This window comes from Homo sapiens, chromosome 5 (genome assembly GCF_000001405.40).
Source record: "Homo sapiens chromosome 5, GRCh38.p14 Primary Assembly".
NCBI classification, from domain to species: Eukaryota; Metazoa; Chordata; class Mammalia; order Primates; family Hominidae; genus Homo; species Homo sapiens.
The window spans coordinates 153,628,742-153,655,988 of NC_000005.10; the positions used below are offsets into that span (position 1 = coordinate 153,628,742).

Sequence of the window (27,247 nt, forward strand, 5' to 3'; positions counted from 1 at the left end):
TTTTTTTTCTATACAATAGAGCAAATTATTGATTCCTTTTTATAATTTCCTCTTCCTGTTCTAAAGTCCTACCTTGGATGGTCCACTCTTTGTTGTGTGTTCAGATCCAGTAGTGAGTGCAGAAGGACAGTTACCATAGTCAGCCTCTCAGTTAGAATTCTGTCGTGTCTACAGACCAGCTTTGTTCCTCTCCTAGTCACCACTATGCTGCTGAGAATCATCATAGAATATGGGAACTGCAGGCAACTGCAGCCAAATCTTTTGTTTTACCAATGAGAACCTCCAGCCCAGGGACAGGAAGAAAATTGTCAAGTTTGTACAGAGAGACAGGCAGGGGTGGGCCTGTGTACTAGTCCTCAAGTGTGCTGACTCACAGGCCAGTGCCCTGGATGGTTTGCATGCCCTTTCTGCTTTTCTTCCGCAGACTTAGGCTGTGAGGAGGGCAAAAATGCCTTTCCTCCTCCTCATTTCCTCTTCCCTCCCCCTTCCTCCCTGCTTTGGGTAAAGCTGAAACATGCAGCTCGTGCTTCCACAAGGCATCCTCAGCATGCTTTTCACAGCACCCTCTGCTGACTCCGGGGCCTTCACAGCTTGCAGCCCAGTTGACAGCCAGTGAAGTGAGAAGATTGGAAACACTTTAAACTGTCTCAGCATTGAAGAAAGTGAGAAGAAGGCAGGTGGGAAACGTCTGTGATGAGCGACATTGTAGAGAGTTAACAAAAACTGGGAGACTTTCAGGGTTTCCTTCTCCTGCTCCCCTGAAACCAAGGATTATAAATACTTTCAATCTTACAGGACAACTCTAGCTGTGCAGTGGTGACTAGGTTGAAGAGGATTTGGAAGCGGTACTTGGGCTCCGTGTACACACACTTGGGAACACATGCACACACGCATTTATGCATTTGCACTATGTAGTAGGCATTTCTGCCTTGGACTTTTAAAAACATGCTTGCCCTTTAGGATCCTCATCTTGGAAATCTGCCCTCTTCTCCCTCTTTAAGGGATTGCCCTTCCCTCTGAATGTGCAGAACATGCTGTTCTTCTACTGCAGAATTTATTTCATTTTCTCATGCAATTTTTATTAGTGGCTCATAAGTGTGTCTTTCATCGCATTGGAATGACCCTCTTAGAGGCAAGGGTCTTGACTGTTGTTTTCCCCATACTATACCACATACACTATGTTGAATTGATAAATTTACTTATTCAGTGAATGTTTTGGTATTATAATAGACATGTTGCAAGGTAGTTTAGCAAAGTGATAAGGACTCATGTGGAATCAGACATACAGGGGTTTGAATTGTAGCTCCACTATTATCAGTTCTGTGACCCCTGCCTACCTATGTTTTAGTCCCTCTTTTGTTAAATGGCAATAATAATAAAGTACACCCTCTTAAGCTGTTACAGAGATTAAAAGAATTGATGAAAGTAAAATGTGTAGTCTATTTTCTAGCATTAAAGTGCTCAGTATATGCAAGCACCTATTAGTAATTAATGTTAGAAATAATAATGATAATTATCATCATCATCATCATCATCATCATTTGTTGCCACTGTGGCTGTGCCAGGTTCTCCAGATCCTCAATGATCCCCTTTCTTTTCTTAGATATGTGAGGGAGATAAGCAAAGGAATATATTGAAGAGAAAAAGCCCAATGTTTATTACTGCGTGGCTGTTGCTATGCTGTGGGCTTCTATGAGCTGGAGGACCCAAGAAAGCTACTTTCCCTGTGGCCCTCACCTATTCTTGGCTGTCTGGATCTCAGCACTATGGGGATCAGAAGAGGCCACCCCAAAACAATAGGAAATAAAAAGGAATTTTTGCCCAATGCTTTGAACAAGGCAGGTCCAAGCTTCCCACCTCAGATCTTCAGAGTGAAGTCCCCTCCCTCCCATGCTCAAAGCAGCTCTAGACCTGCACAGCACCCTCAAAGAAGCAAATCCAGCAGAGATTTTATGGCTTTAGCACCATCTGGCCTTATCTCCTTAGCTGTCTTGAAGGAGACAATAGAGGGTGGAGGAGAAGTAATCATCCTAAAACCAACAGGTGGCCCCAGTTGTAGGCTATGTAGCAGCATGGCTGTGGTGGTGGTGGTTGCTTGGTGTATGTGTGGAAGTGCAAGGGAAGTCTATAATGCAGTGTTCTGAGTGTGTGCAGAACCTATGGAGGAAATCAGAACTTGAGATAGAGAAACAAGTCCTGTTAATGGTAACGCCATTTGGATCTGGAAATAACTGTGTTTGCATAGTCCATGTCTGTTCTCTTACAGATGAGGAAACAAAAGCTCTTCATTTAAGGAGAGAAATAGTCCACTCTCTTGTTTACTCTTTTACTTGACATTGATTGAACCTCTCAATGGCAAAGACTGTGTTGTGCATTAGATAGATATGCTGAGAAATGAGAAAGAGGCTGTGCCCTCAAAAATTTGTCCTAAAAGGGGAACATCTAGATAATCAATGAGCTAATAAATGATTAGATACAGTGTTGTCCCTTCAACCATCTCTTTGGATTCACCACATTCTCCACACTCTCTCTAAAGACTCCCACTCATGCCCCTGGTGAGTCAAAAGCTCCTGGCCAGTAGCCTCTTCTCTGATCAACTCATATATTTCTGCTCATATCACCTTTGCTGGTGGCATACCAGAATCAAGAATCAATTCTGTTTGTTTTCAAACCTGTTTATATTTCTGTGTTTTTATTATACTTGGACAATTTAATTAAAATGATGTGAACTAGTGAAATATGAGTGCAAAAGAAAGTCTTTTTTCTGAAACTAAATACTTTTGAAAGGCTATCGGATGAATCACTAAAATCATTGTAATATTAGGTATCAGAGAGACGACTCTAAGGTTGGGGAAAAGCATGGAAGAAAATCTAAACTTATATTTATTTTATAAGTGCCTTCAAGTTCCTGATATCAAAATATTGATCAATACATGTGCTTCACAGTGTTTTAAGTTTTTTTGGTATATTTTTTAAATAATCTAATTGCCATCCACGTTGCATCAGTTAAGAGGGCTTCAACTGTAATTAAGACTTTGAGTAAAGTTCTGTGAAGGATACAAACTAAATGTTGTGACCGAGAACAGCAGGATGACCTGCTTAAGGTGGTCCTTGCAAGATAACAAGAAGCCAGCCAAGCAAAAGTAGGGGAGAAGAGTTTTGGGCAGTGAGAACCGCATCGGGGGAGGTGTGGTATGTTGCAGAAGCAGCAGATGAGGGAAAGGGAAATGATAAGGTTTTTCAGGTCAACAGCGCTTAGACAGTGCAGATTCTCAAAGGTCATGCAAAGGAGTTGGGACTTTATTCAAAGCATGATGAGAAAGCATGAGGGGCTTGAGGGGATCTGTTTGACAGGATGTGATTTCCATTTTCAAAAGAGCTTCCTGGCTGCTAGATGAAGGATGGATGAGAACGGAAAAAGGGAAAGTGGGCAAGGTGGAGGCAGGGATGAATTAAAGTGACAAAGGCAAGTGATAAAGTGCAATAAGTCTACAGTGACAGGTGAGCAGTGGCAGAGCCCTAGGCCAGGGTGAGAATGGAGATGTAAAGTGGGCATTGTAAATACATTTGTGACATCTTTAGAGGGACGTGCATCCATATTTTCTTTAGTCAATCTGCATGACCAAACTTACAGCTAATTTTTGAAAGGCATAGGTGATCTGATGGGGGAGAAAATCCTACCAAAAGTCAGGCAGCTGGGTTTTCTTTTTCTAGTTTGATATTTATTGGCTGTGCTACTCAGAGCAAGCAACTTAACTCTTGGAAGCTCATCTAGAAAAGGACAATAATAATATCCTGTGCAGCCCACCTCATATTTGGGTTATGCAGTTTAAATAAATAGATGGCTTACATGTATCTAGGACTTTGGTAAGCTTATTCCTTCACTTGATCCTCACGGCGCATAAGGCAGATACTATGGTCCTCACGTCACAGGTGAGCAGACCAGTACCTGTTCAATAAACCGTTATTGAACATCTACTATGTCAGGGTCAGGGACAGGCCCTGAGACTTTTGAAATAGATTAGACCCAGCCCTGTCCTACAGAAGTTCACAGTCTGATGAAGAAGACAGATATGAAAATGTGAAATTATAGAATATCAAGATACATGCTAAGACAGAAAGTACATTAGAACCTTAGAGGAGGAAGAAATGAATTTTTTCTGGAAGGAGTGAAAAGCTTTCCACTGGAGTCAACATCTGGCTGGGGTCTTGAAGGATGTGTAGAAGTTTTCCAGGTATGGAGGGTCATTTTTGAGAAGGATATGCAAAAGTATGCAGGCCTGGAAGGAAATGGTTCATATGCATCTATGTGGGTGGGGCCTCAGGTGATTGGCAAACTGTTAGGAATGAGGCTGGAGAGTGAATCAGGGGCAGGGAGGCTCCTGCTCATGGATCTGTGAGTGAGTGAGTTATGCAAAAGCAGGAAAACTAGTACATTTGCTTCATTTTCATTCTTTCCTCAAATGCTTCCCCCAGTTTCATAGTATACATGTTCCTGTGCCTTATACTCCCTTCTTCCTTGCTTACTGTTTCCTCCAGAATTAATTTGAATCTCAGCCTTTTTCCTGGAACTCTTAATTTTAGCAGGGATATACAAAGGGAACACTCCAGGATAGTGAGAAATGCCTTTTTTTCTCCAAATGTCTTCCGGAATTCTGTTACTTAGCAGGAGTTGTTTCCTGCCATGTTTTGAGAAACTTTGAAAAGCGATTCAAACGTTGGTGCAAAGGGAACTAAATACTTGGTAGTGAGGAGCATCTTGGCAGAGAAGGCAGCTGAGCTTTTGCTAAAGTCTCAGTGGTTGAAATTGTCCAGGAGGCCTGAGTTTTGGTCCCTGGGCTGGGCAGCATGTGCTCTTGGTTGTCATGCCTCCATTCCTCCTTCTGGAAAATAGTAAAGAAGAAAATGTATAAGTTAGAGAGGTGAAAGAGTGTTAGAGCTAATTAAATCTCACTTATTTTACTTATGAGGAAATAACTCCCAAAGAGGAGAAATGACTAAGTTCATATAAAGAACCTGCAGCTAACTTGGTCATTTAGTCATATAAAGAACCTGCAGCTTACTTGGTCATTTATGCATTTATTCCATTCAGCAGACATGTTTCAGTGCCTCCCATGTGCCAGGCACTGTGGTAGATGCTAGGACAATAGTGATAAGTAAATAAACATGATTCTTGCCCTAATCAGGGAGATGAAATTAAACAAATAAACCAAAAGTTAAACAAAATAATTAAAGATAGAGATAAGGTATGATGGAAAGAAACAAGGTACCGCAATAGAGAATAAAGAGTAGGGACCGGGCACGGTGGCTCACTCCTGTAATCCCAGCATTTTGGGAGGCCGAGGCGGGTGGATCACAAGGTCAGGACATCGAGACCATCCTGGCTAACACGGTGAAACCCCATCTCTACTAAAAATACAAAAAAAATTAGCCAGTCGTGATGGCAGGCACCTGTAGTCCCAGCTACTCGGGAGGCTGAGGCAGGAGAATGGCGTGAACCCGGGAGGTGGAGCTTGCAGTGAGCCGAGATCGCGCCACTGCAATCCAGTCTGGGCAACAGAGTGAGACTCCATCTCAAAAAAAAAAAAGAAAAAAAAAAGAGTAGGATGAGTATTTTAGAGAAGGCCTCTATGAAGAGAGAACATTTTAAGCTGAGATCTGAAGAATGCGAAGGGGTCAGCCACTTAAAGAGGGTTGGAAGAGCTTTCTAGGAGATAACAGCTTGTGTAAAACCTCAAGGCAAGAAAGTCGGGACTGTCCTGAAAGGTAAGAGAAAGACCAGCATGAAGCCCAGGCAGAGGTGTCATGGCCTGGAAGCAGATGTGGTGGGAGAGATAGGCAGGGCCAGAACTCAGAGCCTCAGAGTTCAAAGTGCCCTTATTGGCAGACTCTTGATTGATCTCACACCCCTGCGGAAAAGGAAAGGCAAGTATACGTGCATTGCAAGACTCTATTGGCCGAGCATTTGTTTCAAATGTCGTTTTCGCAGCATGCTTTGCTGAGACCATAGATTACAAAAACAGAAATAAAAATGATTCAGCTTTTCTTCTGTGTCTACCCCTCAACTTAATTAGTGCTCACAGCTCCAGAAATCAGTTGAGGGCAGGGGTCAGGAGTGAATTCAGATATAGATGAAGTGGGACTTAGTTTCTGGTGTTGCCACTTGGTTTTAAAGATGCAGAACTTCTTATCTTCCATAGCTTTATTTTATCCTTCATTTTTGTCCTTTCACTTCCTCAGTGGATAAATCCTAGCTAGAAGATGAATTTTGCTGATTTAGGGCACCCTCGGGCTGTCCTCTGTAGCTTTCAGTAAAGCTTTGTCTTGATTGACAGATGCTGATCAAGTTCATGGGTATGCATTACAGTGTACGTTTGCTGGTTGGCCTAGGAAAACCCATTTGCACGTATGACTTTCATAGGAAAAGAATGGCAAATAAGAAACAAAAGATTTTTTTTCTGCCACTCACCCAAGGAACAGAAATTAAGACAGCCAAAGGAAGAGTCTGCCTTCATTTAACGGATGATTTACCTGGTGTTCCTTGCGGTAGTGGTTCATTCGTGAACCAGCAGAAGGTATTTTGTGACTATGGGGATTGCGGAGATGACTGGGCCAGGAGGGGAAGCTGTAAAGCTAATCTCTCCCACAACCCACTTCTCTTTGGCTAATGGCTTTGCTTTTGTTTGTTCTGCTTTGGCTGGTTCATGTGCTAGTTCCCAAAGGCTGCACAAAGGCAGAGCTAGGTAGATGTACTCCCTACCAGGGCTCTTTAGTGAATCCCACCTCCTAGCCCCAGATGAGGCTGAGTGAACACTCACTCCAGCCTTGGACTGTAGCCTTTACTGTGGCCCCTGAACCTAACCCAAGAATGAGACTTGTTGACCCAAGGCTCAGACCCCAAGTCTCAGATCCCTTATTTCAAAGAGAGCTCCTCACCCCAGCTCCAGACTGAGCCCCTGGCCCAGCATTCCTGGCTGAGTCCCCACACGTGGTAGAGCCTTGGCCTCAAAGGGTCCATCCACAATGTTGTGAGTCCCTTGGTACATATTCACTTTTTGAATGAACCTCTGAGGACCCCTGCCCTCTCAAGACTGGCGTCTCCTCTGCCATCTCATCAGAGTGGCTTTTAGCCATGGAGCAGTGTCATAGCCTCCTCTAGTCCAAAGCTGGCCGGTGCTAAGAAGAGGAAGCCTGGAACTCAGAACCTCTGTCCTTGTGCCAACATGTTAGTTGCAGTCTATCTGTGAGCTTCACAGTCCCATTGACTCTTGTACAGAAATCAGCAAGCAGTGGTCTTCAGTCAAACTGGGACCTCAACAATCGACTTTGGTCCTGTCAGGGTTCCTTTCCCTTACTCTTCTTAAGAGCACCCAGAGTCACCATGAAAGAACCACAAGTGGAAAAGGAATACGTGGGCTCAGACGTGTGTCCATCCTTGCATGACCCTTGGCTCCTCATCTGTTCATGGGTTTAAAGGTCATCCTTCCTGCCCTGCCTACCTTATTGAGTATTCACAACAGAAAATGAATGTAGGAGATTGAAAATTGTATAATGCACTCTAAGTTATTATTACCTCTCCCAAATTGTCAGCATTTCATCCTTGCTATCTAGCAGCAGAATAGTGTAGGGTAGGAGTTTACAAACTACAGCCCACAGGCCAAAGCCAGCCCAAGGCCAGATTTTCTAAATAAAGTTTTATTGAAACACAGCAATGTAAATATGTAAACTCATTTGTTTACATATTGTCTTTGGCTGCCTTCATGCTATAAAAGTAGCACTGAGTAGTGCAGCAGAGACCACATGGCCCGCAAAACCTAAGATATTTACTATTTGGCTTTTTGCAGAAAAAGTTTGCCTATACCTGGCATAGAGGAGCAAAGTGAGGACTCTGAAGTTGGAATGCCTGTGTTTGGATTCTGAATCTTCTACTTAATGGCTATATGACCTTGTGCAAGTTAATTAGCTTCACTTTTCTCTCTATGAAATAAAAATAAACATTGTATCCCCACCCTGTGCTATCAAATTAGCATTAAATGAGTAATTCATGTAAGGCACTTAGCTTAGTATTTGGCACATAGTGAGTGCTCAGTGTTGGCTGTTATTATTATCCAAAGAATGAAAGCTCTGGTTTGTGTTGATGGACTCTCAGGGGATGGAGTAGCATGGTTTATGGCACAGGCCATGGAGTAGGACAGAACATTATTTATATCCCAGCTCTGCCACTCACCACATGAATGACTCGGAGAAGATTAATTAATCTCCCTGAACTTCAGCTTCCTCATGCATGAAATAGGAAAAAGAAATTAAAGAGTTATTGTGAAGAGTAAGTGATAAAATGCATGTGAAGTGCCAAGAATAGAATTTGGAACATAGTAAACACTCAATAGGTGATATAAATACAATAATAAATAAGAAGAAGAATGGTACTTTTCTAAGTAGTACTAGCTTCTCAGAACAAATAGACAGTTGGTAGTGACTACTATGCAAACATCATGTGAGGTAGGAGGTTCTACTTATCATTAATAATGCTCTGGACACCAGGTTTTGCATATTCCAGGCACATGTAAATTAAATACACTTTAAAATGGAGTTGTTTAGACAGCTGTCTAGGCTTTTATCTAGGCCAATAGTCCTTCAAGACCAGGTACCTTTCTGTACTAACAATCCATGACTCTATGACTGTTCTTAGGTGAAGTGATAGGTCAAGGAGAACAGCATACACGTTGAGTCACTCTATGGACCATCCCGGAAAGATCCTCTTCTCATAATAACACGTGGGTACACAGTGATGCTAAGGAGTTTGCCATATGGGGTGAAAATGCTCTCATTTTGAACCCATTCAACATCTTCAGGGTTGAGTTCTGTAATGGGATGTAAATCTTCTTTCCTGGGGAGAAACGGCTGAGGAGACTGGGTGTTGTAGGTGGAATACATTAAGGCTGGTGGGGTTTGAGTGCCAGCCCAAGAGCACAGCTCTCATTCTCAGTTGGCCTAAGCTAACAGGGAGTGATCAAGTTCAGTGGACTGAAGCACAGGGGAGTATTACGTATCTTCCAGACCTGTGGATGCTAGATGGGCAACCTAATTTAGAGGAATATGAAACAAGTAACAGCACCGTGCAATTTTCGTTATTCCCTACCTAGCTCTTTATGAGTTATTGTTCATTATATTAGCAGAAAAATGAGGATTTGGAGAGCCTCTTCCTTCAAGTGGGCTTAAATCTCAATTGCAGGTGAAAAGGCATAAATACACAAAAAGTTACTTGATAATATAAAATAAAATAATCAATTCATTCAGTGCAAGACATGTCATGAAAGAAAGATGGGTCAACTTAGTATCCAGAGATTAAAATAGGTAAATGACTTGCATTCATTCATTTATTCTCATATTCATTCATGTCCAAAAATATTGTGTAGTCATTATGGGAACCCTTCAAAGGGATATGAATAATAATATAAGCTTTATGAGGGCAAAGGCATCATCTGTCTTATTTACCACTCTATTCCACAGTGTCTAGCCCATAGAGGAAAGACAAGGACTGAGTTAGACATAGATCCTTATTTAATACTCAGTGTTTAGATGTATGTAGTTCCTAACACATTTGTGGACATTTATGGAGCTCCTAACATGATTTTGGGCTCTAATTTATGAAATACTGCAATCAGACATTTAGTAGACATCTGTTGGTTTGATATGCCCAGCATGCATCTCCTCTCTGTTCACAGCACCTTAATTTTCCTCTGGCTGGTAGCTTAGTAACGTGGATAGTTGTTCTGCTTCCCTTGACCCAGGGGCGGCCCATGCCCAAGCAAGGCTAATCTTGAACTGTGTAAACAGTTATCACAAATGGCTGGAGCAATGGTGAGACCCTAAAGAGACTGTCCATGAAATGCTGACATCTAGATTTCTAGAGCTGCTGCAATTTCTGTCTTATATGAGGCACTTTTTCAGCTGGGGCTTCCTCATATCCTTCCAAAATTCTGTTCTTACAAATTACAGAACCTAAACTAATAAAGCATGGGTGTTAGATAAAAAATTGATAAGACGCACACATTTTTATGTACATTTAAAAGATGGGTGGAGACTTTCAGTTTATAGCTAGGAGTAGGGAGGTGTAAGGGTCTTTATGAAGGAGATGGCATTTGAGCTTAACTTTTAAAGAATGGAAAGGATCTGCAAAGATCCTTAAAGAAAGAAAGCAGGAGGCAGGAGGCCTGTGCAGGCTGGAGCAGGGGCATGAGTGTAGGCCCAGAGCCTACGGCCGAGAAACAACTGAAAAACAGCCACGTCTGTGCTGGAACTCAGTGAACTCACTGAGCATCCCATGTCTGTCGTGCCATTACACTTAAGTCAGATGTTCCTGTTCCCATTTTCTAGCTTATCCTACTGAGTCACAACAACCTTCCCCTCCATTGTCTCTCATCCATGGACTGGACTTGAGCTATGGGATGTTAGAGAGGAAAGGTCTTGTGAGACCAGCTAGGACTGACCCTCTTAGGCCAAAGTGATGCTAGAGCCCTCCAGGCACCCATGCCACACATGAAGTGCCGGATACCTTAGAAGAGCTCAGTTTTACTCAGAGAGCTATGTGATCTCTTTCTCCTCACCTGCATCTCTACTGCTTTCCTCCTTTCCCCCTATACTGTGTCCACATGGGCCTTCTGTTTCTCAAGCTCTTCAGTCTTGTTCCTGAGCCTCATTCAGAGCCTCTGTTCCATTCCTTCTGCCTGAGACTGCTTCTTTAGCCTTTAGCCTGGCTGGCTCCTTCTTAGGGTTCATTTCTCAGCTCCAATGCTAGTGACACAGAGAGGTCTCCCTGACCATCCTGTCTAAAATAGTCCTGCCAGTCACTCTCACATCATCCCATTTTATTTTCTTTGTAATATTCGCAGCATCCAAAATGGCCTTGTTTATTCACATGTCATCTCTCTCCCTCTCTAGAGCCTAAGCTCCAAGAGAGCAGAGACTTATCTTTTTATCCAGTGATGTATACCCCTAGCACCAGCTTGCTGCCTAGCATACACTACACATTCAGGAAACTTGTTGGATGGGTGAATGATTAGGCAGAAGAAAGATGGAGAGAAGAAACAGAAAATTTCAATCTGTAGGACCTCACATCCCCAGTGAGTACAAAAGTTCTATTACAGGTACTTCACCAAAACAAAAAAAGTTTGAGAAACACTGATTTAGTTTAAACTCTGTTATCCAGAGAGGAAAAATGCAGCCCAGAGAGGAGAAGGGGCTTGTTCACAGACGTGCTTCTTTGCATTTACTTCTCCACAATCATGTCAGGCACCTGAAGATTTTTATAAGGGAAGCTCCAGTTGATCAGTCTGTTTGCCCTGGCCCCCTGCCCTTGGTTACATATGTCAGCCCACAGGGTGAGTCTAAATTCCAGGACCAGTGAGCCCAGCCCTGTTCTAATTCTTAGCCTCGTATGCAGTACCACATCTCATTGGCTTTCAATGCCTAGTAATTAAGACCCATGCTTAATAATAAATACACAAATATGACCTGGGAGGATGGCTTTTCTTCCACATCTCCTTTTGCAGCCATCTTCCAACTGGGCATCAGGGCCTGGATGAAGAAAGTTCTTGTGAGTCTCAAATGAATCCAAAACCAAAGTGAAATGCTACATTGACACATGACACAATGACCTAACTTCTCCAGCCCGGGCAAGGCCCTTGGCAACCTAGTCCCCACCCATCTCCAACTCTGTGCCATACCCTGACCCCAGTCATACTGGTGTTTCTGGAGTTTTTCTGTTGTGCCCTTCTCTTTTATCTTGGTGCTTTGGATAAAGTGGTCCCTCTATCTAGACACAGGAACAAGGTGCTTAACACTGTGCCCGGCCTCTGCTAAAGGACCCAGTTAACACTGACTATAATAGCAGTTATGATCATTTATCCTGTGGCTGATCCCTTTATTACTCTCTCAAATCACCCTTTATTTTCCTTAATGTAAAACTCACTGAACACTTGCTTAAGCTCTGTGAAGGTAGAAAACATGTCTGTCTTGTGTAATTGTGGTACCCCAATTTTCTGGCAATATTAGTTTCTGGTGCCAATAAATATCTGTTGAATTTACTAAATAAATGATAACATTGTATCTAGTAAATGACAGACACCCTGGATGTGTCTCAGAATCCTAAGTAAATGTGATATTGTTTAAGGGCTTTGGGATGATTTATATCTATTATGGTAATTCTTTGCATGTCAGCATTATATCTACGATACAAGAGAATATAAAAAGGGATGGACAGGCACTCTTATTGTCCTCTGAGTGATGGAAATGAAGCACATCCCTTGATGTTACAACGTTAGAGTAAGATGATGAAGAATGTGATTCCCACCAATAAGGATAGAATTATTCCAGGAGGGGAATGAGTGCCTGAAAGTCCCCCCATTCACACATACTTTTGATCTCCCTCCCCTAAAATGAAGCTGTCCTGTCACCTCATTATCTGCTATTTACAATGAGGCTGCCACATTCCCAGGGACAGGAGCCAAGGAGAAATGTCGGTGTGAGAGGCCTTAAATGAAGTGACAATAAAAAAGGAGTTGTTAATGCCAGGAGTTCCCTCCCTGGGAGACAGCTGTCAGGGCCAGTACCCAGGGCTGGGAGATTTATTGATACTAAGTGGATGGTGCCCTAACCAGGAGTGATTATCAAAGAGGTTTGAGTGAGGTGAGGATAGAATTGGACAGCCCACGCCATGCAGTGTGTGGGTTTTCCTGCTCTCACTGGTTCCTGCCCTCCTGCTTCCCCAAGAGGGAATTCCTGGCCTCGTTTTTTACTTACTCTGATTGTTGGACACGCTCTGCTACAGAGTTTCTTGGAGGCAGGGCCCTCAGAATCTGACACTCTGGCAGGGCTCCCTGAATGCTCTCTCTATCTCTGCCAGGCCTTTGCTGTTGCTCTTCCTTCTACCCATATACAGTACTCTTTATGCACATGTAACTGTACCAAAACCTCTCTCCTGGCTGATTCCTCCTTATCTTTCAGTGTCAAAGCTGGCACTTCCTCTTGGAAGCTTTCTTTGAGGTCCCCAAAGGATGGGGTTAGGTGTCCCTGCCTGCTGAACTCATCCTTAACATAGCATGTAGACTGAATTGCTATTGCCTACATAGTTGTCAGTCTCTCCCATTGTCAAAGTGACAATCCCAAAGTGGTTGGGGATGGGCTGGTTTACCACTGTATCTCCATTGCCTAACATAGTGTCTTCACAAATGCCAGATACTGGGTGTCGAATGGTGGGTGGATGGATAGATGGACCAAAGAATAGGTGTGTATGTGTATAGACTTCCCAGGGATGAGACAGGAATACATCAAACATACCACTCAATTTTATTTGCTTATATTTCAATAGATTCTAATGTAGTAATGCCTCTTTATCTGGCATCAGGGGAAGACAGTGTGCTACATGAGAGGATTTTCCAGAAACTGAAGCTGACCCATGTCCCAAGACTATTTCAAACATCCATGACATATCACAGACATTAAGGACTCAAGCTCTGTCGTCAGACTGGTAGAGGTCATCTCTCAACTTGCCTTGTGCTGTTTCTAGACCTCACTTCTCCAATTTGAAACCCACCTCAGGGAATGAAAGGAGTTAATGTAGAGAAATGTCTTTGGCACAGTGTCTGGCACTTGGCAGGTGTTGAAGTATCAGCTCTTAATTATTACTATCAGAAAGCATTACAGGCCAGTCACAGTGGCTCACACCTGTAATCCCAGCACTTTAAGAGGCTGAGGTGGGAGGATCGCTTGAGACCAGCAGTTCAAGACCAGCTTGCGCAACATAATGAGATCTCAACTCTACAGTTTGGAGCTGCAGTGAGCCATGATGGCACCACTGCACTCCAGCCCAGGTGACGGAGCCAGACCCTGTTTCAGAAAAAAAAAAAAAACAAAGAAGAAGAAGAGGAAGAAAGAGAACACCATATTCAAGTGCTTTCTAAATGGCAAATACTGTGTTTCATCCCAGCAACATGATGGAAGTCTGTGCATTAACCCAGTACACACAGAGTTCTGATTCTGAAAAATGCCCCATCTCTTCTCTCCTACTTGTCATATCTGACAATGTAGTCTCCATCTCTGGCTCCCTTTCTAGTCTGCCTCCTTTCATCTCTCTACTGGGTAACTTATTCACATAGCAGGTTAAAAGTTGTGTCTTAACACTTAAGACTCCAAATGCATCTATTCAGAAGTCACAAAGGTAAATCTGTTCAGGAAAGTGAGATATGGGCTGAGGCACAACTCCTGCAGAGTAGTGATCTTTGCAAAGAGGTAAGAAAAGCAGGCTGCAGGCAGGAGGGGGACAGTGCAGGATCCCAGGATTTTGTTACAAGGGAATCCAAGAACTCAGAGACTTACCTGCTTACTGGATTTGAAAAAGTGCACTGGGGGTTGCTAGAATTTGACTAAATAACTAAAATATTGTCGAATCAGTAAACATTTTCCAATCAATTAGACTAGACTCTAGAATGTCAGAGTCTGAAAGGGCATTAAGCATTATAGAGATCAAACAATCATTTCACAGATGGGAAAGCTGAGGCCTAGGAGAGCGTGGGATTTACTTAAAGTCATACAAGTACTCTGTAATGATAAAACCAAAAAGAGAATCGTCCAGGTCTTCTGACAGCTAGCCTAGTACTTTGTCTACAGAACCATGTTATCTCTTCTGATTGAATATTGGTTGTGACAGATTCAAAGTAGATATAATACCTCACAACTACTAATTATATTTATCAACATTTAACCAATGACTGCCTTCTCCCACAGGCCTTGGGCCTATAGGGTCTGTCTGTCTGTTTCTGTCTCTCTCTCTTTCTTTTACTTCCTCTCTCTCTGCTGTTGCTTAAGTTTGGCTGAAGTGTAGAAATGGTCTGACAGTCAGGCACTGAGCAACTCTGGGAGCCAGGGTTCACTCAAGTAAATCCAGGCCAGGCTACCTCCAAGCCATGCTCTTTTAGGGAGTAGTGCGTAAATGCACCCTCTTAGCCTTAGAGGAGAAAGCACTCTGTTTAAGGTAAGAGATGTTTGCAGAAGGGGAAAATGAGGAGATAATTTGAAGGGGAAAATGTCCTGGCCTCCTGTGTGTCTAAGGATTTGTTGTGTCTGCCTGCTCCCATTTCGTCCACCCCCATCTCACCCTTTCCTACTTCACTTCTAAAGTCCTAGCAAGAAACACCATCCATGAGGGCCCCAGAGGCCCAACTAAATGTGTGAAACCAAGTAGGTGACATGAGGGAATAGATCTGGATCATAAGATTTATATCCTGTAGGATAATATTTTATTGCAGCAAGGGGAGAGAAGAGATCCTAAAAATACTGTAGAGAGTATATTATAATATTTTAATGAGGTTTATGTGCTCCCCATATACACTTCACCCTGGATGATGGATTGTGCATTTTGACAAATCTATATTTAACATTGGGAGAATAATATGTGATGTATGCTTCCTGGTAGAGAAATCATATTTATGGAAATCTTTATTCTAGTTATTATAATAGACATTTAAAGACAGTGCCTATTGTGGGCTGTGGATAGATAGAGTGTACTCATTAGGGTGGAGGAGAAAATAGTGTGAGTGGCAGAGGATAAATGGCTACCTTAGAAGACAGCAACCCAGGCAGGGGAGCAACTAGTTCAGGGTGACCCAACAGTCACATCTCTGTTTGGGTTCAGCTCCTCCTCAGCCCCTGCTGCAGGTCATATGCCCTCATCAAGCACTCATCATTCATTTATTTATCAAATATTTATTAAGCATCTACCATGTCCCAGACACTCTGCTGGCTTTTGGGCACAAAGAAGCATGTCCTAATTTTCAGGGAATTCACATTGACTAAAACAGCCACACATATATACAAATAAACAAAGAAAATTATTTTAGATTAATTAAAGAATGGGAAATAAGACAGAGTGATGTGATACAGACTGATGAGGGGTCACTATTTAGAAGAGGTGATGAAGCAAGATCTATACAGAGAGGTGAGATTTGGGCTGAGGCACAACTGCTACAAAGGAGTGATGTTTGCAAAGAGGTAAGGGAAGAGCATTGCAGGAAGGAGGGGAACAGCTGGTGCAGAGTCTCCCATGCAGAATGAGCTTGGAGCCCAGAGGAAGAGAGTGAAAGCCAGTGTGGCTACAGCAGGCAGCAAGGAGAAGACGGTTGTAAGTTAGGTGAAGTCAGAGGAGCAGGCTATTCATGCTCTGTGTGATGGTCAGATGTTGAGACTTTTCCTGTGTGCAATGGGAAAACTTTGAGTGGATTTGTACAAGGAGAAAGAACAATGTGTTTTGTTTGTTTTGTCTTTGTTGTTTAAATAAGATCTCTCTGGCTTCTGGGTAGAGAAGTGATTTTGTCACTGAAAACCAAATGTCCTAAAGCTCAAGGCCATGAACACCACCTTCAGATACCAGGAGGGCTATAGAGTGGGTCAAGAGCAAGAATTGTGTGAAACCAGAATCTCAGTAACTAGAAGTATGCAAGCAGATGTTAATGATCACCTGCCAGGTTTCCTGCAGATGGTATGCTGGTTTTCAGTGGGAGTAGGACAGATGGGTTATATGGTTCAGCTGCAATCTTTAAGAGATTATGACCTTTAAAGCCCATTTTCTCTAGGGACTAACAGAAAATGGAGACTCACAGTAGACAATTAGGTACCACTGGTTAATTGCATTCTTTATTGCAGCATGGGCCAAAAGATTTTCAATAACATTTCAAAAGTATTCACCAAAAAAAGGTCTTGGAGGCAAATAGATTTGACAAAATCTGGGATAAAAATGGGTAGAATTCCTCACAATCTTTTATGCAGCTAATGTGAAGTATGAAACTCTAAAACAGGGACAAAGTATGCACCATTTCCCAAATGTATTTGACCAAAGAAGACTTATTTTTTAAGGAGCATCTTGTGGGGCTATAGTTTCATGAAACCTTCTGGGCAATGGTCGCATACTGTAATTTGAGATCCCATACACAGTGGCAATGTGGGGTTCTGGAAACAGGTGATATGGTAAAAAGAGTAAAGGATCTAAGAGCATTAACTTTTTTATCTTAAAAGAAAAAAATAATAATACCTAAGTCACAAGGATGTGATGAGGACTAAATAGCCTAATATATGTAAAAGGACCACAAAGCACTCTAAAATACTGTTTTCATGACAAGGATGAATGACTTTCCTCACCATCCACCTTGGAAGGGCAATTTTTAGGCATTGAAGATGGCCTTGGGGTTGGTCTCACTGGGGCAAAGATTATGAACTCTCATCCTATATCATATAGTAAAACAAAGTTTAGGAGCTGACTGACTTGGAGTTTAATCCCATGACCTTGGTCTTATTAGCATCGTATTTTAATTAGAAGTATAATCAACCACAAACCAGGATTGGCAACTGCATTGGGATTCTACAGAATCGGTCCTGTGGGTATGTTCTCACAGCTAAGCTATTACTATGGCTGATACACTGGGGGGTCTGAAAATCAGCTAGCAAGATGTACAAGCACAAAGTGAACATTAGCAGACAAATGAACACTGAGAGTTAAGGGCTGGGCTAGACTGGGAAAATCGACACTTGTTTTCTTAAACGTGTATTAGCAGCAATAGCTGGATTCTTCCTGTAGCACCTTTTTATGCTTTGCCTTTAATTGATAGACAATGTGAGGGGAAGATCGTTAGATTAAGAGTCAAGAATATCTGCCCAAGTCATATGTCCTAGCTGTGCTACCTTGAATATGTTCATTAAATTTCTGAGCCTTGGTTTCTCCCCTTTAAAAAAATGACCCAGTCATCCCTTTCTAGCCTCAATAGGGTCATTGTAGAGACCAAGTAAGGTAATAGATGAAAGTGTCTTATATACATGGCTACTGTAATTAATAACCATGACAACTTCTGGCTTCTAATAGATATCTAATAAAATTGGATTTACACAGATGAATGAGGCATCGAACAGGTGAATGTGTGAGTGGGGTAGTTAGATGGGTAGGATGGATGGACAGTTGGATAGACTGGTGTGTCGAAAGGATGAATGGATGGATTGGTTTGTTGGATGGGTAGATGGATAGATGACAGTTGGGTGGATAATTGATGGGTTGGATGGATGAACTAGTGGATGGATTCATTTTGGAGTCATCTGACCACTTTTTGCAGTCTTCTATTCATTAATCCTTCTCTTCTCTTGTAGTCTGTTCCCAGTTCTCCAAAGGAGTCTATGCCATCTTTGGGTTTTATGAACGTAGGACTGTCAACATGCTGACCTCCTTTTGTGGGGCCCTCCACGTCTGCTTCATTACGCCGAGCTTTCCCGTTGATACATCCAATCAGTTTGTCCTTCAGCTGCGCCCTGAACTGCAGGATGCCCTCATCAGCATCATTGACCATTACAAGTGGCAGAAATTTGTCTACATTTATGATGCCGACCGGGGTAAGCCAAGGGTTAGGGGAGGGAGACTTTTGAGGGATGGAGAGAAAATTACCAGCAGAAAGGAGAATGATGCCTCACTGCTTCCCTGAAAAATATGGGAAAATTATCCAAAATGCTTTATTTCTGAGAAATCTGACTGATTTATCAGTAGCTGACCTCTAATTCAGTTTGGAAACGCATTCTGAGAATAATTCTCTTAATGCACCATGTCACTCTACAGCTCACTAAGCTTTCATGGCTCCTGAGTCCAAACTCAATGCAAAAGGACCTCAGACTTTGGAGTCAGGCAGATCTGGATCTGAAACCTAGGTTCTGTCCTCTCCAGCTGTTTGACTTTGGACAAACTCTCTCTGCCTCAATTTCAGCACTTATATAATGGGGATAAAATTCTCTATGCCTTCATTTTCTCATGTCTATAATGAGGATAAAAACAATGTCTATCTTATAAAGGTTTTGTGAAACTGAATGAGATGACTATGAAGTGTTCAGTGCCTACAACATAGTAAAAACTCAAAATTCTTTCTCTGTTTTAGATGTTATCATCATCATCATCCTCCTCATCATAATCTTCATCCTTCTCTGGGCTTTCTAATTCTTCCTCCTTTGAATTTAACATCACATTTTCCAAATGTTTTCTATACTTTTTCTTCTCTATGTCTTTACTCATGTTATTCCAGTTTTCTGGAATGCACTTCCCTTCTCCAATTTACATCTGTAAATCCTTCTCCTCTTTTGCAGGATGTCCCTATTCCCCAATTCTGTGGATGGGAGCACTCTCTCCAACTCCCGTGATGTTTGTCTTGTACTGTCCTACCTTCTCATTGTATACTAAATAGTCTTGTAATAATTTATTCACTACTGGTGTAAACAAATAAATGGGTCACGCAAGACCTGAAAGGTGAGACAGAGGAGTACAGTACTGATGTGGTTGCCTGCAGGGAGTCTTAGAAAACTTTTGAGTTGGAGAGAGGTTTGTGAAAGTGATTTTTCAGGCAGTTAGGCAGGCGTCGTTCAGATGGGAAGGAGCCAACAGAAGAAACCAGGAACACCCTATTTTCTTTGATTTTCTCTTCACTGTCCCCACTTTGATGACTTCCCTTCTCAGACTGTGACTATTGCAGGGGTCACCTGGAAGTCTATTTCAGGACAGCTTTGCAGCATAATGTAGCTGGAGGCCTGGAAGTAATAAAGCCAGAAAAATGTACCTTTGCTTGTGGGAGATCATCTCTGGGGTCAGCAGAAGCACCCACACTCTCAAAAGAGCTCCACCTACCTCAGAACTCAGAGCTCAGAGCCCTGCCGTTTGTCAGCTGTGTGACCTTGGACTAATGACTAAATCTCTCTAAGCCTCAATTTCCACACTATAAAATAGGGATAATAATAGTATCTACCTTGAAAGATTAAGTGGATTAAAACCAGTAGAACAGTGCCAGACACACAGTACATTTTCAGTAAATGTTGGTCTCAAACTCACCAAACAACTTGCACTGAAAAGGAAACAAAGATAGGAAGGCATAGCAGAACCAATCTGCAGATGATTCTTGAGGCCAGATACCATATTGGTCACTGTGGAAGAGGTTAACTGTGTTACTGAAAGTCAGAAATGACATACATACAAAAAATTAATCCATGCAAGATCAAAATAATATCTGTGAATAATTAATAATGACACCCCCCCCCAAGATGTTCATGTTGCAATCGCTAGAACCTGCAAATATGTCTATGTTACATGGCAAAGGAAAATGAAGGCTGCAGTTGGGATTAAGGTTGCTAAACTATTGACCTTTAATAGGGTAATTATCCTGGATTATGTTGGGGGGACACAATGTAATCACAAGGTCCTTAAATGTGGAAGTTGGAGTCAGAAGAGTCAGTGTCAGAGTGGTGCAATGTGAGAAAGACGACCACCATTACTGGCCTTGAAGATGGAAGGGGCCATATGCCAAGAAATGCAGGTAGCCTCTAGAAGTTGGAAAGGCAAGAGAGTGGATTCTTCCCTAGAACCTTTAGACACCAACACAGCCCTGCTGACACCTTGATTTTAGCCTGGGACACCTATCTCATGCATCTTACCTCAAGAACTGTAAGATAGTACATTTGTGTTGTTTTAAGCCAGTAAGTGTGTGATAACTTGTTACAGCAGCAGTAGGAAACTAATACACCATCTAATTCTCCAAGAAGAAACAAAGCAGCATTGAGTAATGGCCTCTCTACTCATTTAGCTATAGATCAGAAGAGAGTAGTTTAATTCAGGACACATTTTATTTATTTATTTAGTTAGTTAGTTAGTTAGTTAGTTAGTTAGTTGAGACAGAGTTTCACTCTTGTCACCCAGGCTGGAGTGCAATGGCACGATGTGGGCTCACTGCAACCTCTGCCTCCCAGGTTCAAGCAATTCTCCTGCCTCAGCCTACCAGGTAGCTGGGATTACAGGTACCTGCCACCATGCCTGGCTAATTTTTGTAATTTTTTTTAGTAGAGATGGGGTTTCATCATGTTTGCCAGGCTGGTCTCAAACTCCTGACCTCAGGTGATCCACCCACCTCGACCTCCCAAAGTGCTGGGATTACAGGCGTGAGCCACTGGGCCTGGCCTGCCAGGACACATATTAAACACCTACTGTGTGAGAGACAAAGTATTAGGTATTAAAGATACTATATTGAACATTCACAAATTTGATCAGCAGTTATTAGGTGACCATTTAGATGCTAGGTTGGCACATTTAATAAGCAGTTACTGAGTGCCGAATAAAACTAACAGCTAATATTTATAAAACCCTTGCAGGTGTCAGGCTCTGCTATGTATCAAACATTCTCACTTAATCCTCATAATGACATTATGAGGTGAGCATTATTTACACCACACTTTACCTTTGAAGAAACTAAAGTTTGAAGAGGCTAATGAGCCTGCACAAGGCCATTTAGCCATATGTTGGATTTGAGCCTCAGATTGTTTTTTAATCACTAGTTCTACCATCTATGTTCAGAAACACAGTGTCTGATCTCACAGAGTTCAGAGTTTTGCAGCCAGAGAAAACTAGAACTGAGTTTGGCAGAAGAGTGGGTTTGGGGGTAGCCAGGGGAGGTAGGTGCCTGATGGGAGTGGGTGGTGCCCACAAATCCTGACTGTCTGTCATTTCTCTTCTACTCATCTGAACTTTAGGCTTATCCGTCCTGCAGAAAGTCCTGGATACAGCTGCTGAGAAGAACTGGCAGGTGACAGCAGTCAACATTTTGACAACCACAGAGGAGGGATACCGGATGCTCTTTCAGGACCTGGAGAAGAAAAAGGAGCGGCTGGTGGTGGTGGACTGTGAATCAGAACGCCTCAATGCTATCTTGGGCCAGGTAGTGAAAGCAGCAAGGGCTCAGGGTGGGTGCGGGAGGTGATTCAGGAATAGCCAGACACACTTTTGCCTTGGGTGTTATAAAGAGGGTTATAAAGAGGGTTCTTGACTAGGTGAGACTAAAAGACCTCTATCTCATTTTCTATAATTCACAAAATTTAATTCTGAAATAGCACAAACAATGGGAGCCTTGACATAGGGCTTCAAATGGTTCTCAGACCTGTTAACTCCAATGTATCCCTCTATTGTTTAAAAAAAAAAAATGCTGGATGCAGTGGCTCAGGCCTGTAATCTCAGCACTTTGGGAGACTGAGGCAGGCGGATCACCTGAGGTCAGGAGTTCAAGACCAGCCTAGCCAACATGGTGAAACCCTGTCTCCACTAAAAAAAAAAAAAAAAAAAAAAAAATTAGCTTGGTGTCGTGGCATGTACCCATAATCCCAGCTACTCAGGAGGGTGAGACAGTGAGGCAGGAGAATCCCTTGAACCTGGGAGGTGGAGGTTGCAGTGAGCCAAGATTGTGCTACTGCACTCCAGCCTAGGCAACAGAGCAAGACTCCATCTCGAAAAATAATAAAAAATAATAATGATAAATTACATTCCATTTTAGAGTTTATGAAATGTTATCATATTAGGAACACAGCTTATAGGGCCAAATTTCTGGGTTCGACTCTGGACTCTGTCACTCATGATCCAGGGTTTGGCATCTCATTCCTTTCACCTTCTTACCTGTTTTGAAAGGCTAAGGAAGCAGCAGGCACCTTTATTTCCATTGTTTCCCTGAACATGCCCTTCCCTTTGAGAAATCAATTGACAGTACATTCTTCTATAAACAGGCATTGTAACTTCAACAGTCTTGAGCTAGATCTCTCTAAACTGTGCTTCCCCTGGTCTCAAAACAAAAGCACATGCCCACCACAGAATTAGCAGGATTTTTTGTAGATTCCTTATCTTTTTAAACTACATTTATGTATTCAGATTCAGAGCTAGCAAGGTAGCAGACGTTGCAATAACTTTTGAACAATGTCATACAATAAAATTGATAGTTTTAGGTACTTGACAACATGACAAAGTTTGTTAATGGCCTTCAAGACCCCTGGGGCCCTCACAGAGAATCTTGGTACTAGGACAGCTATTACTCAGAGGCCTCAGCAATAGAACACAGACAGAGTTTGAATGTTATGGATTCTTTAAGGCACTAACTGTTCTACTTTATGAAGTACAAATTTGGCCTTCCCTCTTGGAAAGAGAAACCCAGCAAAACTTGTTCCTTTGAGATGGAAGTTCTCTGGGCCGGAGTCAGGGATTTGAATTGCAGTTTTCAATTCAGGCAGGATAAGATAATAGTTAAGAGCAGAGATAAAACCAGACTGGCTAGGGTTCAAATCCCAGCTCTAGTATTTACTGGCTTTGTGACCTTGACCAGGTTTTTAATCTTTCTACATCTCAAGTTCTTGATCTGTAAAATGGGCATCATCATCATAATAATAGCCACTTTTAGAGGGCTCTTGTGAGAATTAAAAGAATCAATATATGTGAAGCACTTAGAACAGAGTCTGCCCCACAGTAAGTGGTACAAGCAAGCATTTGCCTATTTTTGCTATTCCTAGTGCCTACTAGGACCAGCTTCTTGAGTCACTTTCTTCCTTGGGCATAAGTGAATCCATCTGTAAAATGTGAATGAAGGCCTCTGTTCTATAAAACTGATAAAAAGGCAAGATAACATAGTCGATGGAAAAAGTGCCAAATGATAATGACATATTAATAGACAGATGACCTATTGTATATTGTTCTATGGTACAGACAGTAGCTATTACTACTATTTTTTTAGTGTGTATGGTATACCAGATACTATGCCAAGACCTTCCCATGCATAATCCTACTTCATTCCCACATCAACTTTGTAAAACAGCTTTTTTCAATTCCCCTATTTTATAGATGAAGAAAAGAGAGATTATACTTGCCCAACATCTCACAGCTAGCATATGATAAAAGCAGGAAGTCAAACCTATCTTGGTCTGGCCAAAGAGCCTAGCTTCTTAAAAATGCAACTTTTCTGCTTCTGCTATCTATAATTAACTCCTCTCTCAAAGGGCAAACTTGCGTTTTGTAAAGAAGTGACCCGTTTGTATGGGTATTTTAGATTGTAGCATATTGACATTTTTTAAAATTGTTTCATTCATCTATTTTGAAAAGTAAGACCAAAGAGTTGAAAGGATTTTACAGATCACTTGATTCTTTGCTTATGCTTACATTTTATAGATAGAATGACTGACGGTCAAATTGATTAAGTTATTTGCCTTAGACAAATAATGAATGACAGTAATGAGCCTACAACTTATATCTCTGACTTACAATCTCACACTTAGCATCATCCTGGACTATCTCACATTCAGTAACTGGGAACGTACCTGGGATACAGTTACATTCAGTAACTGCATACAGTCTAACACAAAATTTTCCACCTAATCTGAGGAAAAAAACAGTGACTCAAAATTCCAAATAGGGAATTAACTGCCTGTGTCTGTCTCCAGCCCCCACCCAACTAAAATCTAAGCTCGACGATGCCAGGGATTTTTGTTTTATTTTCTTCCCTGCTGAGTCCACAATGCCTTGGATAGTGCTTGACACCAAATAAAGTATTCAATACATTCTTTTCAGTGAATTAAAAGAATAAGGAATCAATGAAGCCTCTAAGAAAGTTCTTAAATGTAAGATAAATCTGGATTTCTATAGATAGCCATTGGCTGGATAAGAGCCTTTAAGATGGAGGAAAAGGCATGTCAGGAGGCCCAGAGGGCATGTGAGGGCTGGGTTTCATACTGCAGTTTTGCAGGCTGAGTGATGGATGCTGAGCGTCCACTGGAGAGGATGGCAGGAAGATAAACACACAATCAAGAATATCCTTGGAAACCATTAGAAAGAGTTTAGGGTTTATTCTGTAAACAATGGGGAGTCAGTGAAGGTTTGTGAGCAAGGAACAGGATTATTAGAATATAATACTTTATCAATATATGATGCCAAAGCATATAAAACAGTCATTAAGCACAAAATTAGTTAGAAGTGAGAATAGACCAGGACCTGTTGAGGTTATCCATCACATCCCCCTATGTTATTGTCTTCATGGTGCTTGTACCTGCTGAAATCTTGTTCATTTATCTATTTATATATTGACCATCTGGCACCCTACTAAAATGTTAACTCAACTCAATGAGGGCACAGAGACCTTGCCTCACTTGCTCAATGCTGTTTCCCCAGCACATAGCATAGTGCTTGGCATATAATTTATGTTAAATAAATGTTTGTTGAATGGATTAATTAGTTAATCATAGAGGGTTTTACAGAGGAGTTGAGATTGGAGCTCAGCCATTAAGGATACGAACAATCAGAGAGAATGGGAGAGGCCATTCAGACACAAATATTGTGAATGAAGGCAATGCATTGGGAATGAGCTTTGAAGTAATGGGGGTCAGTGAGGTGATGGACCCCTTGTGAAATTGCTTCTTACATTTATAACACCTTTCTCAGTTTGTTACCCTGTATATATTTATCTGTTCACCTATTTATTATGGATCTCCTCTCAATGAAGTGTAACCTCCAAGAGGGCAAGCACCATGCTTCTTTCACCTTTCCACTGTGTTGCCAATAGTGCTTCACCCATAGCAAGCTCTTAATACATATTTGTGAAAGGAAGGTATTAGAGGAGGGAAGGTCAATGTATAGGTTGGGGAATAGATAGATGGGAAGGTTGGTATCAGGTTGGATCATATGAAATTGCCAGTTTTTATAAGTCAAAAGTCATCAGTTATCAGCTGTTTCCTTTGTTTCAATTTGTACTTTCATCTTGTGGGGACAATATTTCTCCATTGCCTGAATGTGGTTGGTTTTAAAATATCATGTCTTTGCTGTTTTGTGTTTATTAGAAGCTGAATAGGTTCTTGATAAAGGTGTCTCATTGTTGAAAAGGCAGCAAACCATTTGACAAGCAGATGAAAAAGTAACGAAGAATTATTAATAAAACTATCATCCCAATAGTATTTGAGCTCCGTGGTCTGGAATTTCACAATCTAACCACTATTTCAAAGAATTCATTGTGTGTGCTTGCATTTAATTATTCCCCACATAAAAAAACATGAGTCACTATGCACATACATCCAATTAAGTAGATGTCTGAATGTGGATTTTAATAACCTTGAAAATTTATTCAGTTAGAGAAGAAGCCCAAGTGCTTATCATCTGTTATATGTCTCCTTGCAACAGTGCAGGGAGAGAGACACCGAGCAGAGTACACTAACCCCAATTTGATGATTAAAAAAAATAGGGAATTAGATCTAGTTAATCTGCAGGCTGAGCTAGATCTAAAACCAAGGTCTGTAGTCTTAACCATTCATTATTAGGTGTGTCTCCTGCCCAAGCAAACTTCTGGGCAGTTCTTTCCACAAATATTTTTTCTACCTGTGATGATTAGGGATAGTCTGCATTTTGGGATAAAAGGGTATTCATTGACACTGGTTCTTAATGATTAACCATAATCAAACATCAAATGGAAAAGTTCACAGGAGTCAGGTCCCTGTCCTGATACTGCCACCAGGCTACTATCAGATCTGGGCAAAGCATTTTCCCTCTGTGGGTCTTGACTTCCTATCTGTACAGTGAGAGTTTGGACCAGATGATCCTAACTTTCCCTTCCAGCTTCTAAGTTGGGCAATCCATTAATGTCTGAGTACCTAACTGATTCGGGGAGGAAGGCACAAAATTCAGAAAAAGAAAGAAGAGCATCTATATATGGTTCATGCAAGGAATTGAAGGTGAAGTCATCCACATACCCATCTGACCATTCATCCACCATCCATCTATTAACTCATCTGTTTTTCCAATCAGCGAATATTGTCATGACAGATTTCATGCAACATAAAATTCCCACCTAAAGAAGAATCTCCACATACAAGGAAGGTTTATGAAAGAAAGAACGCAGTGAGCATTTCAGATGGGTCCTTGGGGTTACAGTAACACCACTCTACCCTTGGAATCAGACAAAACTGATTTCAAATTCTGTATCTGCCACTTAGTAGCTGTAAGATTACAACTTACAGAGGTTATATAATAGGCAGTCCATGCCTATTCCTTATTTGTAAAATAAGGATGCTAACAATGCCACCATCATTGGATGGTTGGGATATTGTAGTTCTAGTACTTAGGGTAGGGCACATTGTAAGCACTCGATATCAGCTGCCGTTATTACTGTTGTTGTCGTGGCTTTAACTGTTAGTATGATTAATGAGTCTCCACCTATTATGTTTTGTAGATTATAAAGCTAGAGAAGAATGGCATCGGCTACCACTACATTCTTGCAAATCTGGTGAGTAGAGCACTGCAGGCTCTCAGCTCAAGTCCTTTCCAGGTTTGGGGCCCTACCTTGCTTCTGTTGTCCCTGGCTGATGTGAACTGAGTAGGTGGAAGGGGCAATTCAGGGCT

At 41.7% G+C, this 27,247-nt stretch overlaps 1 protein-coding gene across 14 annotated transcripts in view; it reads left to right on the top strand.

Moving 5' to 3' along the window:
- Positions 1–27,247, top strand: part of GRIA1 (glutamate ionotropic receptor AMPA type subunit 1) — a 324,255-nt gene that overhangs the window by 139,127 nt on the left and 157,881 nt on the right. For 13 of the 14 annotated variants that reach the window (NR_157093.2, NR_047578.2, XM_047417128.1 and 10 more), the window contains 3 exons: positions 18,187–18,426; positions 21,589–21,773; positions 27,078–27,131. Coding sequence is in view for 12 of the 14 variants with exons in the window: in XM_047417128.1 (XP_047273084.1) it covers positions 18,187–18,426; positions 21,589–21,773; positions 27,078–27,131 (479 nt within the window). In the remaining 2 variants the exon portion in view is untranslated. The remainder of the gene's footprint in view (positions 1–18,186; positions 18,427–21,588; positions 21,774–27,077; positions 27,132–27,247) is intronic. The other variant, NM_001258019.2, reaches the window with a different exon arrangement.